The sequence below is a fragment of the Homo sapiens genome, chromosome 22, assembly GCF_000001405.40.
Source record: "Homo sapiens chromosome 22, GRCh38.p14 Primary Assembly".
NCBI lineage: Eukaryota > Metazoa > Chordata > Mammalia > Primates > Hominidae > Homo > Homo sapiens.
In genome coordinates this window covers 16,826,236-16,839,783 of record NC_000022.11, presented here as the reverse complement: position 1 = coordinate 16,839,783, position 13,548 = coordinate 16,826,236, and the positions used below count along the sequence as shown (strand labels likewise).

Sequence of the window (13,548 nt, the reverse complement as noted above, 5' to 3'; positions counted from 1 at the left end):
TTGTTTTTTTTGAGACAGTCTCACTCTGTCGCCCAGGCTGGAGTGCAGTGGCGCAATCTCGGCTCACTGCAAGCTCTGCCTCCCGGGTTCACGCCATTCTCCTGCGTCAGCCTCCCGAGTAGCTGGGACTACAGGTGCCCGCCACCACGCCTGGCTAATTTTTTGTATTTTTAGTAGAGACGGGGTTTCACCATGTTAGCCAGGATGGTCTCGATCTCCTGACCTCGTGATCCACCCACCTTGGCCTCCCAAAGTGCTGGGATTACAGCCGTGAGCCACCGCGCCCGGCCACTCCTATACAGTTTTTATATGTACCAGGACAGTTAAGGCTAGATAGGATTTATCTATGATGCCACCTTTGTTCTGTTGGTAGTGGCTTCCTGGAGTGCTGTGCTGAGAAGGATTTCTGAGGCTGTATCTTGTCTTTGAAGAAGAATGCTGTGATTGATGAATGATACCAATTAACAGCATGGGAACAGGGCTATATAAGTCACGTGTTTGTCATCTCTTGGGGTCTACTTCTCAACTCTCTATCCTATTGGTCTGTCTGTAAAACTTTTATAATTTTAAGCCACTCATAATAGCCCAGCGATAACATTTGGTCATATCATGTTATTTCTGTTTTGCATGAAGTGAAGAAGCTGAAGTCTAGAGAAACTGAGATATTGAAATTTTATTCAAAGAAAATGCAAACATAGCATCCTAATTTCTTTAGGCCCATGTTGGTAAAGGTGACTGAGATGGAGACAGTTCATAAAGAGCTTAGGCATGTAGATCACAAAAACTGTCTCTGCATGTATTCAGCTTAAGTTTTAGCCCTTCAATTGGAGTTGTGATTCCAGAGTTATTTCTAAATATAGAAAAATGAACCATAACAGCCTTTACCAATTTGTTGTTAAATCTAAGTTAGATACACTCTGAAAGATCAACACTAATACCCAGTACCTATAGTCACTTAATGTCTGGAACACAATAATGAAGAAGTAAAGTTTCTTTTGAAAATGGCTTGAAGTCAAGCAGTTTTCTTGCTGAACATCAAACTTTATTATTCCAGGAAACTAAGATTTAGATAAGACAAAAAGAAATACCAACCCTAATTTAAATTATGTCTTCAAATCTATAAAAATAAAAGATTAGAAGTCTGTGGTCAGTTTGAAATTAGGTTTTAGAGAGTTGGTATGAAACTGTTTACCCAGACCACTGAAAAATGGTTTAAAATGGTGCTCATTTTAATAAGGTAACACTTCTTAATTAAGAAAAACATTTATGGACAAAATTCTGTGAAAGATATTTGGGTCTCTGGTTATAATATAAATTCTTAGAAATTTAAAACAAATACTCCTTAAGACAGAGCTGACGTGTATTTCCGAAGGATAATGAAAACTGGATCAGTATTTTGTTGAAATAAGACCTATTATAAAATTGCACTTGGAAGATTTTTCAATGAGTCAGAATCCAGATTCTTTAGTAATAGATTATAAAATTGTTTCTGGAAAGCTTGTCAATGAGTCATAATCAAGTTCTTTAGTAGTCGAGTCAGCAGAATTGTAGCTAATATTAGCATTATTGAAAAATATTTTCTTACTGGCTCAGGAAGTTAATTGGCCCTGGACTTGGGAAGAAAAGATAATTTGTAAAGTCAGTATGAGAATCACATTATCTTTGAGCCAAAGTTTAACAAATGTCAGCTGTCAGAATTGGAACTTCACACCAATTTCATTTTATTTTCTATGTAGATAATACTTATTTTAGGATAGATGGCATATATGTGAATTTATGGTCTCATCTTTTGATGCTGGCATGTCACAGGTACCTATTCAAGGAGTATAACATATTCCATAGAGTGTCTTGGTAGAAATCCTCTAGCAATAAATATGAACCTTCCACAAATTTCCAAGGTATGAACAATTATTTTGTCAAAGTGTTGCCTTTTAAAATGACTAACATGAAACTGCCAGTATTTGCTCTAAAGAAAAAGCCCAGCAGCTTGAGACATAAAGCGAGGTGTTTGAACGTCTACGTTAGTTTGGTGGGATAGGCATCTGTACTGCAGAGCAGTTGTCTGATGATGTGTCAGAGCTGTAAATGCATTGGCTGAAACACTGTGGCAAATATTTGTGTGTAAAAATTAAGTTATTATTTGTACTGAGACTGGATATCTTGCAGTTCCTGTTCTTTCTTTGCTTTGATATCCTGGTAAGCCTGCATTTTGCTAGCATCCAAGTAAGCCCAGTTAGAAAACTGTATCATGAGAAAGTGGATCTTGAAGGGAAGGGTAAGCATGATGGCTAGTGAGCATATGAGAAGGCAAAGCGAGGTGCTAGTTATATTAGATGGACTTGACTTTAAAGAGGATGAGGGCTACTCTGTGTTAATACTTGCTCTCCTAGCAGAGCTGTCAAATCATTAAAGCATGCTATACTAGTTAGCTTCACATTAAATGGCTGATGAAAAGTTAGTACACAAACATTGCAAAGTATTTTAATTAACCACTAAATAATGTCTGTATACTCGTCAGTCTAGATGACTGATACATTAAACACCTCTCACTACAATTGGGACTTGTCTACATAAATGGATGTCCATCAAATTTACCTCAGGCATATATTGAGACAATGATACTGAGGCATTTAAATTTGTGACTATTATATTATCTTTAAATTTTTTTCATATTTTGATATTTCATATTTTGTCTGTCACCTGTTATCTATAATTGTCCCTCTTTATTCCTTGCATTTTTTCTAAAATTCTCTTTTGCCTAATATAATATGAGTGGCCTAACTTTTTTGATAAATACTTGTTAGTTTTCTCTAAACCTTTATTTTCAATATTTCAGTGTGATTATTCCTAGGCAGAAGAAAATTTTTACCAATCTAATGTTTAAACATAAGTTTAAACAGTTTACATCTAATATGGTTACTCTTTTATCTACATAACTTATACCTGCTTAGACAGTTTTTTATTTACCCTAGATTTTTTTGTTTCTGCCTTTGCCTCCTGTCTATCTGCTTTTGTTTTTCTCTCTGTCTCCCCACCTGCCACCTGTTTTTCTAATTTTATTGATTTACTTTTCTTACTCATATTTATTTCTTTTCCTGCTTTTGACATTAATCACCATATTTCTCTACTTTCTGTAGTTAATCAGAAGGACCCAGTTAGTTGACTTTTTTTAAACAAGCTAAAACATATTTCTAGCCCTCTTAGAAAAAATTCTTGCATACCTCTTTCATTTTGAGATTTATTTTTCTGTTTGCTAAAAAAAAAAACTTTTATACTTGTTTTCCATGGCCTTTTCATAAGTCTTTAATATTGGCATAATCTTCGTGAGTTGAAAAATGTTATTAAATGTTATTAAATGATAATTTATGTGGAATAATATCCTGGGTAGAGATTATTTTCATAATTTGCATGTTACCCTTTTTATACATTTTTGTCTTCTATTGTTTCTTATGAATATATAAAAGTGTCGAGTTCATCTTTCCTAACTTCTCTTTTATGTATGGTCACCAGATATAATACAGGATTACCAGTGACATTATCATTTTAAATAAGCAACAAATAGCCTTTAATATAATTTTCAATATTCTAGTAATTTAGCACTATTCTAAATATTGCATGGGACAGGTTTATACTCAAAATAAATTCTTTGTTTTTTGTCAACAAATTATCAAATTTCAAATTGAAATGTGATATTTAAATTCTTGAATTTTCCCCCTACACCTGGCAAACTTACTTTCAGATCTACTTAGGAAATTACTCGTTCTTTCTATATTTGTGCTGAATCTACTATATAAGAAACAAACAAGCAAAAATTGAGTTCCTTTAGTATATGGTTCATTTTTCAATGACGTATAATTGTCTATTTAAAAAATGTATTTTTGTCCTCCTACCCACCTGTTTTGCCTTTAGATCCCATTTATTGGTCTCAGAGAACCCCTAAACTACTAATTATGATGACTTTTTTTGACTCCACTTTTTATCCTTGAGTGTGACCCTTAAGTGTGTCTTCCTTGGCTATCTCTTAGGGCATGGAATGTCCATCCATGAATTAGTAATGTTGCCTTTGAGGTGGTAAAGCAATCTTAAGTTCTTAAATGTAAATTTATTCTTGGGTGGGGGCAGTTTTATGTTAATCTTTCCAGGTTTTTAAGAACTTAATTGTTCAATCTAGTATGTTATACCAGTTTCTGCTTTTCAGGTAGTTATATAATACAGGTAATATGAAAAATCTAACCTCAGTCTTGAATATCACACAGGTCAGAGGTTGTGATATGAATCTTTCTTCTCATGGCTTTGAATGAAAACTTCTTTCTGTGTTAGATCCTAGTATCCATGGGCAATGACTTTCCAATTGACACAAATATTTCAGCTAAATGTCTGAACAACACTTTCTTTCACCAATTATTTAGGCAGGGAGCCCAGCCCCATTGGACACAGAAATGGTCTCTTTCTTGGGAATATATCCAAATTTACTTCTCAATTAACTATTTCAATGAACTGCCAAGTTTAATCTCAAATTAATAGTATTGGAGTCCAAACCTCAGAGCTGTTTTCTTTCTTGATACCCAGTTTGATTTTTTAAAAAAGAATTTTCTTTCGTAATCTCTGGCTTTCATAAGAGTTGCTTTTGCAATTGTTCACTTTGCAACAGAGACCTAGAAATGAGTGCTTGGTTTCTATTAAATCATGTGTTACTTAACAAATAAAACCTGTGAGAAAGGTGTTATTACTATATCTCTACTGCAGTTGAAAAGAACACATTTTTGGTTATATTTTCTGGAAGCAGTGCTGACACTCTTTTTCTCCCAAGTGTATGGCAGGTATTTCATCGGGTCTTCACTGACCTATATTATTTATGTGCTAAAAATCATTGGCTTTTTCACATATATTATAAAGACTTCTTTGAGATTTTTTAATTTTAGTGAAGACTTTATTTTATAAAATCACTTCACTGTAGATATATCATTTTATTCTCTGTAATCATATCTTCCCACATTTTGCTTTATGGGATTTGGTTTGCATGGTACTTTAAACGCCTTCCTAGGACTTCCACTTACAATGCAGTACCCCAGTGTTTCCTTGTAACAGCTAAAACACCACAGACATAACAACAAGAAACAAAGACAGACTCTGAAAGGTACAAAGAGGAAGACAGCTTGTCTAGGGTCTTCAGGAATTGAACAGTGATATTATGGTAAATTTGCTGGATTTTCTTATTGCCTTCAGTGTATCCCAGGTGATGGACTATAGAAGCTTCCAATACAGAATCTCCATTAGGCACAGACTTCAAGGAAATCCTGTTCTCTCCCAGCCAAAGGAACAGGAGAGGATGACCTAACCACACACAACAACTCAAAACCCTTCTACGGGAATAACCAAGCTATTCCAGACAACCAAGCTATTCCAGACAAACACCACAGAAAAAACTACTACAGCGGTTTCTGTGGAGCCATGTAGAGAGACAAGCTTCTCCCAGATCAGTGATGCTCTGATTCCCTCTAAAGGCAGAGTAGGCATCTAATCTTTTATTACCCACTTGGCATGAACAGAGGGCAACAGTCCAGTTCCCTAACCAGTGTCAGCAGAGTCCAGTAGCAAGCTGAGCATCCAGGTCAACCCAACGACAACAGTTTTTAAAGAGCCAGATCTAAGTAGGGTTCATTGCACTGTGCTTCTTACCTGCCCTCCCCACTATCTTGTGTTATCCGGTCACCAGGCTCCAGTGGGGGAGTTAAGCATGTACCACCACCCAACCTCCTAGGCACTGAACAGTTGAAGTGAACCTAAACTAGTCAGCAATCTGCTATTTCCCCATGCCACAGGTCAGCAGTACCCCAATTTAGCAACAGTACCATCTACAACTGCTCCAAAGAACATGAAATGCTTTGTTGTACATTAAAACAAAACAAAACAGATATGGGATCTGTATGCTGAAACATATAAAACACTGGTGAAAGAAATCAAAGCAGAAATAAAGGGAGATACACTATGTTCATGGATGGGAAGACTGAATATGTTGTGTTAGTTTTCCCTAGCTTGGTCTATATATTTGATGCAATTCCTATAAAAATCTCAGCAAGAATTTTTGCAGACAAAGCAAACTTACATCCTTGGATAGCTAAGACAATTTTGAAAAAGAAATATAGAGTGGGAGGAATCCATCAGTATTTCAAGGACTTACACACAGCTAAAGTAATCATGACAGTGTGGTATTGGCATAGGGATAGATTCATATAAAAATGGATCCAAAGGGAAGGCCTAGAAATAGAGCCACACTGGTATGGCTATTACCAATTGATACATCACAAAGCTGGCAAACATAAATCAGTGGAGGAAAAATAGCCTTTCAACAAATGGTGCTAGGGCAAGTGAACATCAATAGGCTAAAGAAAAAAAGCCTTAACATAAACCTCACACTACAGAAATTAACTCAAAATGCTTATGAACTTGAATGTAATATAAAATTATAACACTTTTTATGAAACATTTTAGAAAAAAATCATAAAGAAAATTCAAGCCTCTCAGGTGTAGCAAAGAGTTATTACATTTTATACCAAAGGTATAAGACATAAAAGGAAAACTGGTAAACTGGATCAAATCTAAATTAAAAACTTCGCTTTGTGAAAGAACTTAGGAAGAGACTAAAAAGCCAATCTGCTACAGAAAAGAGTACTTTTCCTGCTGATAGCTGGGGACAATGGGAGGACCAGCCGCAGAGAGCAGTACCTTCTCTGCTGAGAGCAGCAGCTGTGGCAGAGAGCTTCAGAGACCTGCAGAGACATTTAAAGAACTTGCCTGCAGGGAGAAGACACCCTCTCCAGGGCCTCCTCTCTGCTGAGAACTGAATGCTCCATGGGAGGAGCTGCCTATAGAGACGAGCTACCCACTCCTCTGAGCTCTTTTAACACTAAATAGAACTCTTCTTCTTCACCCTCTGCTTGTCTGTGTACCTCATTCTTCCTGCATGCAGGACAAGAACTTAGGCAAAGGCGCAATGGCCACAGAGGTTTCCTGCCAGAAAAATCAACATCTCAGGGATCCTGTAACAATAGCACTGAAATTTCTGTGTTTATATTTATCATGTTATTTCATTGATGTGCAGGGCTTCCTCTTTCTTGCCAAGATGAGAGATTTTTATTTCCAAGTTAAACATTTGGGAGACTACTAGGAGACTCTGGATCTTATTATGACATTCTATTTTTCAGTGTAGCTGGCTTTGTCTGAAACCAACCTAACAGAGGAAAGGGTATGCTTGTCAAGTAGGGGCACAATTCCAATTTCCCTTTTTCTCTTTGACACAAAAGGCAGGGCTCCTCATTACTGACAAATAAATACCCAGATTCTAGCTTCACCCTAGGCCTTACTTGTACCTCCCTGTCTAGGAGGGGAAGGGTGTCTTGTTACTACATGGCAGGGTTGAAAACTCTAGCTCTTTACTCTACCTTCTCTAATTCCACTCCAGCAGGGGATTGGGATGTTTCATTACTGCCTGGTACAATGGATGTTCTGACTTGGACTTTGTTGTCCTGGCTAGGTTTTTTATTTTCCTTTGTTTTGTGCTGTGTAGTTTGGCTAAAGTAGGATGGTTATTATAAAAATTATCTTTGTCTTAGTAAAATGTTCCTTTCCTAGCCTTTGGCTATAAAAATTGGGCTTTTAGGGGAAATTTCTGTCTTGGCTTACTGCAACCTCTGCCTCCTGGGTTCAAGCCATTCTCTGGCTTCAGTCTCCTGACTAGCTTGAATTAAAGGTGCCCACCATTATGCTTGGCTAATTTTTGTATTTTTAGAAGAGATGGGGTTTCACCATGTTGACATGGCTGGTCTCAAACTCCTGACCTCAGGCGATCTACCCGCCTCGGCCTCATAAAGTGCTGGGATTACGGTTGTGAGCCACCGTGTTTGTCCCAGTTTTTTTTCTTTTTACCATTCTTCATGTTCAGCATTTAACCGTGTATATCACAGTACCCTCTGAAAATACAGTTTTGAGAACTAAAATGTGGTATATATCTTAATACCCTGTGGACATAGGTGAAATGACCATTGTCTTGTGTCATGGTATGCCAGGATAAAGAATCAGTATTCCCCGTGTACATAATTGATTCTGAACTTTTTCTACTTAGGCATAACTTGAAAATATATGTGTATGGTAGGATGGCGGCAGTAGGTTTCCAGCCTGAGGAATCTGGCTGTCCAAATTCGTACCCAATTCCAACCCCATTCCAACCCCAGCTTTCCCAGAAAACTGAGTGATAAATCATGTCAGGCCTTAGCTTGTGACACCAGAAGTTGTATAGTACACCAAATCCACCATGAATGCTGCTTCTGAAAAGCTGCGCAGCTGGGATTCTCAGTGTAATCCATTTCGGCACAACAGCTGGGAATCTCTGCTGCAAATAAAGGAAGGAGTAGTAAGCACCCACCTAGTTATTTCAGGCAAAGACTGCGAGTCAAAGCAGAAGATGAAAAAGAAATTTTAGAAGAAGCAGGGGAAAATCAGAACTAGACCTAAAAAGAAAGTGTGATAGTTGAAGTGATAAACAGTGATAGTAGTTTTAGTAAGTCAAAATTATTGCCTCTCTAATGAACACTACTGTGACCTAACCTCTAAAGAAAAGTTCTGGTGAAGAACGAAGAGTAAAGTGTAATGCCGCAACACCAGGAATGTTTGTTTTTGACAATAAAGATAGATTTTATGGTTTTAAGTCCACAGTCATCATTGACTAATACACATACATACATACATCAGGTACTGTGTTACATCAGTACTGAGTGTCCAAGACAGACGAGAAAACTAATCTGATAGATAAGAAGCACCTCCTGGAAGAAGTGATGTCTGTGCTATAGGAGTCTTAAGTAGGCAAAGAGGGAGAGAGTTTTTATCTCCAGGAAAGAAATGGGGGCAAAGTTACCAGATGATAAAAGGCATGGCTGAAAGTGGAGTTGCCTGAATGTTGCTTCAAATAGGACGGTGATGAAACAGAAACACATGAAGCTGCAAGGCAGACAAATATCAGGTCTTGAAGGGATTTGTTCAGTTATGCTGGGGATATAGGCTCAGAATCTAGAAAGTATTAAATGCCAACAAAAGAATTTAAATCAGATTTTGGATGGAGCATGAAACCAGTGTGATGAAAATGTGCATTTAGAGGCCGGGTGTCATGGCTCAAGCCTGTAATCCCAGCACTTTTGGAGGCTGAGGTGGGTGGGTCACCTGAGGTGAGGAGTTCAAGACCAGCCTGGCTAACATGGTGAAACCCCATCTCTACTAAACATACAAAATTTTGCACGGTGTGGGTGCACATCTAATCCTACCTACTCAGGAGGTTAAGGCACAGAATTGCTTGAACTCAGAGGTTGAGGATGCAGTGAGCTGAGATTATGCCACTGCACTCCAACCTGGGCAACACAGCAAGACTCTGTCTCAAAAGAAAAGAAGGAAAATGTGCATTAGAAAACATGAAAGGTGGACTCTTACAGGAAGTAATTAAAGCCACAAGCTTTGATGGAAGATCAAAAAGGTCTATTGATAATGCCAGCTATAAAATTCTACCATGTGCCTACAGTGATACAATCCATGAGTAAAATATGTGAAGTTTATTGCGCAAGTGAGGACACAAATAATTGTGATCATGGTTACTGAGCTCGCTAGGTATGAATTGTAATGAAGAAAATCTTTGCCAACTAAAATCCAAGTTTAAAATAACTGAGAAAAAGTGAGAAAATACTGAAGTATATAGTGTGTGTTAATGTTTCTCTAGATTTTCTGTGTGTGCGTGTGTGTGTGCATATCTATTCTTTTTGTGCCATTGTAATTTAGGCCCTCATTTGATTTATGCCAGACTACTTGAGAAGTCAGTTATTACTCTTTTCTAACTCCAATTCCTTCTTTTTCCCTTGCCTGCTGCCATGGTTTTGATATATAAACATATGTATGTGAATTAGCCAACGTTGACTGTGGACTTAGAAACCATAAAATCGTGAGTGTGCACCCTCATGGCGGGATTGATAGCATTATCTGGCGAACAGGCTAGTTATTGTGTGAGTGGGCTTTGGAACCAAGGATGAGTTTGGCCCTGATTTTCTGTTTATCACATGTCCTTTACCGTAGGATGGCCTCCTGCCATGTTGCAACATAGAAAGAAGATCTCACCAGATGCAGCCCCTTGGACTTTCCAGCCTTCAGAATAATGAGCAAAATAAGTCACCTTACAAATTACCCAGTCAGTGGTATTGTGTTGTCGCAGCAGCAAATGGACTAAAACACTCTATTATTTCTTCCTCTTTAGATAATTAAATAAACTAGCTTACAAAGGGCCATGTCAAATTTCCCATCAAATGATAAAAAAGCACATATTTTTTTTTAAATGCGGTACAGTAGCCTGCCACTAAAACAAAGCCCCATTTTACTCCTAACTGTATTTTTAGAAATAAAGGAAAAGCAACCATAAAGGTCAACATGTAATTTTATTGTTCAGTAAGATTATTGCAGGAATTTTTAATGTTCTTGTCAACATAAATTTCAGTCTCTGTTGTCATGCATAATCTGGTACTCTTTTGGTGGAAGATCAGTTGTAACTAGGGTGATATTTTTCCAGTAAAGATGGTTGAAGAGCTGGCCTGTAACGAAAGGCAACTGATGTATCAGCTGTCGCAGTCATTTACAACCACAGGTTGCCTGCTGGTAGCAGGTTAGAATGAGGAGCCTCATTGGCTAATACCTCAGGATATCTGGTGGGAAAAAGTAGGTGGTTTCACTATCAGCCCCAAAGGAGGGAGATATGATGTAGTATTGAGAAGCTGTGGTTGTAACAAAATTCACAACGTGGCCATTTGCTTACATGTCGGTGCTATGAGAGTGCATATGAATATTTGTCAATTGATTTAAAATAGCATGTTGATTTGTTGTAATTTGTTCTGATTGTCCAACTGAGGTTGAAATGGAAGAGGAGGGAAACCACTTCTAATTGGGTCAGGTGAACCAGCAATGCCCTGGCTGACAGAAGATTTCCTTGTTAGAGTCATATTTAAATTTGTAGATGTTGAAAATGAACTTTCTTCACTAGTTTCAGCAGCTAAGACAGAATTATGTTTATCTGTGTTAGCCCCTGCTCTAAAGTGTTTCTTGAAATATTCAGTGAAGTAGATACAAGAGAAGTGTTTTTAATCTTAATTCTTCTTTTCGTTCTTATTAAAAGTTGGGGACAGCCACGTTTGAAATTCGGATGATAATACAACTTTAACTAAAACCAAGGAGAAGGTAATTCAGTGCCATTTTAAACCAAGAGGCAAGTAACAATAACAAACATAACCCATACAATCTCAGATTTCTGTTTTATCACACAAAGTTAATATCATCAAATAATGAATGAACATTGTTTACTATTTTTAAGAACATGCTTGTTGAGAAAAAAAAACACTCAAGTTTTGAAGCCCTCTGGTGAAAACATGTTATACATTTAATAGTAACATTTCACTAAGTGGCTTTGGTATCTTTATTTGGAGTTCACTGGTAAGACTGAATGTTGTTAGCAACATTTCTTAAAACCTGAAAGTTTAATGCTCAACCTGCACTCAATAATTTCAAAAAAATTAAGTAATTTTTACCTTAATATTTGATATAATTTTTAAAATCTGATCTTACTGCATGTATTAACATAGTTACTGATATATAAAATGAAATTACATATATACTCAAAGTGGTAACTGAAATATTTTGAATACCTTGCTTAAAACAGAAATTTCTTTTTCTTCTGCCAGAAAGTTGGCTAGAAAAGCAGATCTGTGAAAATTCTGTTGAATTTTACTAAATCCATAAAGGTTGAGCTGTCAAATTAAGATTTTCATACTGTCAGTTTGAAATATTCTGTAAGGAGCCTTTATTTCCAAATTTTCTTTCTTGAAGAGTTCTTCATTAGTCACTATGCAAGTTTCATTCTTATCCTATGAATTAGACTTGAATTGGTCACTTTCAGCTATTTTCCAAAGTTTACTGGGAAAGGTCAGAGAAGGAAAATCATTATCTTTATCTGGCTCAGAGACATAAAGTATAATGTGGCCTTTTTATCAAGGATCCTTGTGGCAAAACCTGAAAATCATTGATTCAGTCATTGACCTTAAGTCTGAATCCCCAGGGATTATGTGTTCACACAATGGAGACCCAGAGGAGGCTTTTGAACCAGTTGATTCATCTTTAGGAGAAACATCTTGAGTTTCTGCAGAAACATGTGCCATCTCAAATAAGTAATTCTTTAGCGACTTTTCCAGCCTGCATGTGTTTCAAGACTGCAGCTTCAAATGCTGCTTCAGTAGTCTACTCAGGTAAAGTAATTGAGATCACCACAGTGGTTTCCAACCTGAGTAGCAATGGCATCACAAGAGGACTTTGGTCACCTAGCAACAAACATAAAAATTTGGCCAAGACTGTTTACTTTCCAGTCTCAGAAATGTATCTGGTAAAAATAAAATATAGAATGATTACTTACACAGTTTATTCTGCAAAAGTTTCATGCCTGCAGAATCTTTTAAATTAATAAGGAGGGCCAGGCATGGTGGCTCATGCCTGCAATCCCAGCGCTTTGGGAGGCCGGGACAGGCGGATCATGAGGTCATGAGTTCGAGACCAGCCTGACCACCATGGTGACACCCTGTCTCTACTAAAAATACAAAAATTAGCCAGGTGTGGTCCATGTGCCTGTAGTCCCAGGTCTCGGGAGGCTGAGGCAGAAGAATCGTTTGAACCCAGGAGGCGGAAGCTGCAGTGAGCTGAGATTGTGCCACTGCACTCCAGCCTGGGCAACAGAGCAAGACTCTGTCTTAAGAAAATAATAAATAAATAAATAAATAAATAAATAAATAAATTAATTAATATCCTCAATCCCTGAAATAAACATAATTTTCTCCTTGACACACACAGTCTTACTAGATTGGTGCGAGGAGCATAGGGCCTGGTAATTGGACGGTGCAAAAAAATAAAAATAAATATTTTAAAAACTCTCTCAGCTTGGCATGTTGGATTGAAAACTGATGCAGTGTAAAACATATATGGTAAAAAGACATGGCCATATAGACAAAAGGTAGGTTAATGGTTGTCAGGGGCTGGGGAATAGAAAGAACTGTTAAGTAGATAATGGGGTTTCCTGTTTGATGATAGAAATGTTTTAATAATATAATTTTGAATAATGTAATTTTGTATTATGTGAAACATACCTTAAAAAATTAAAATAAAATCAAATATGAATAAAACTGATTAGATTTCAGAATAAAAAGTTATTCATGTATGTATCTATTCAAAACATTTTTTATTCATATCATAGAATAAATAATACTTTCATTTGGTATGTCTGTAAATATCTGACATGTTAATTATGTAAGATTTTAAAAGCAAGTGACCTACTTATAAGGAGATCCCAAAGAGTGGGAGATTTAAAAATGTAATAATAACAAGAAAGTGTTTTAAGTAAAGTAAATTTGTATGTATGTCTAAGCAGAAAATTTTATTATTTGGTTCCAAGAGCCAAATATCTATTTAAAAAATATTTCTTAAGGA

The 13,548-nt window shown here is 36.8% G+C and overlaps 2 pseudogenes across 1 annotated transcript; both read right to left on the bottom strand.

The window, feature by feature from the left end:
- Positions 1-1,918: 1,918 nt before the first annotated feature.
- On the bottom strand, positions 1,919-2,470 carry GPM6BP3 (glycoprotein M6B pseudogene 3; annotated as a pseudogene).
- Positions 2,471-10,448: 7,978 nt separating this feature from the next.
- On the bottom strand, positions 10,449-12,310 carry HSFY1P1 (HSFY1 pseudogene 1; annotated as a pseudogene). Its single transcript, NR_003607.1, has 2 exons — positions 11,724-12,310; positions 10,449-11,242 (listed from the first exon to the last, which is right to left on the bottom strand). The product of NR_003607.1 is annotated as an HSFY1 pseudogene 1 (transcript).
- Positions 12,311-13,548: the final 1,238 nt, after the last annotated feature.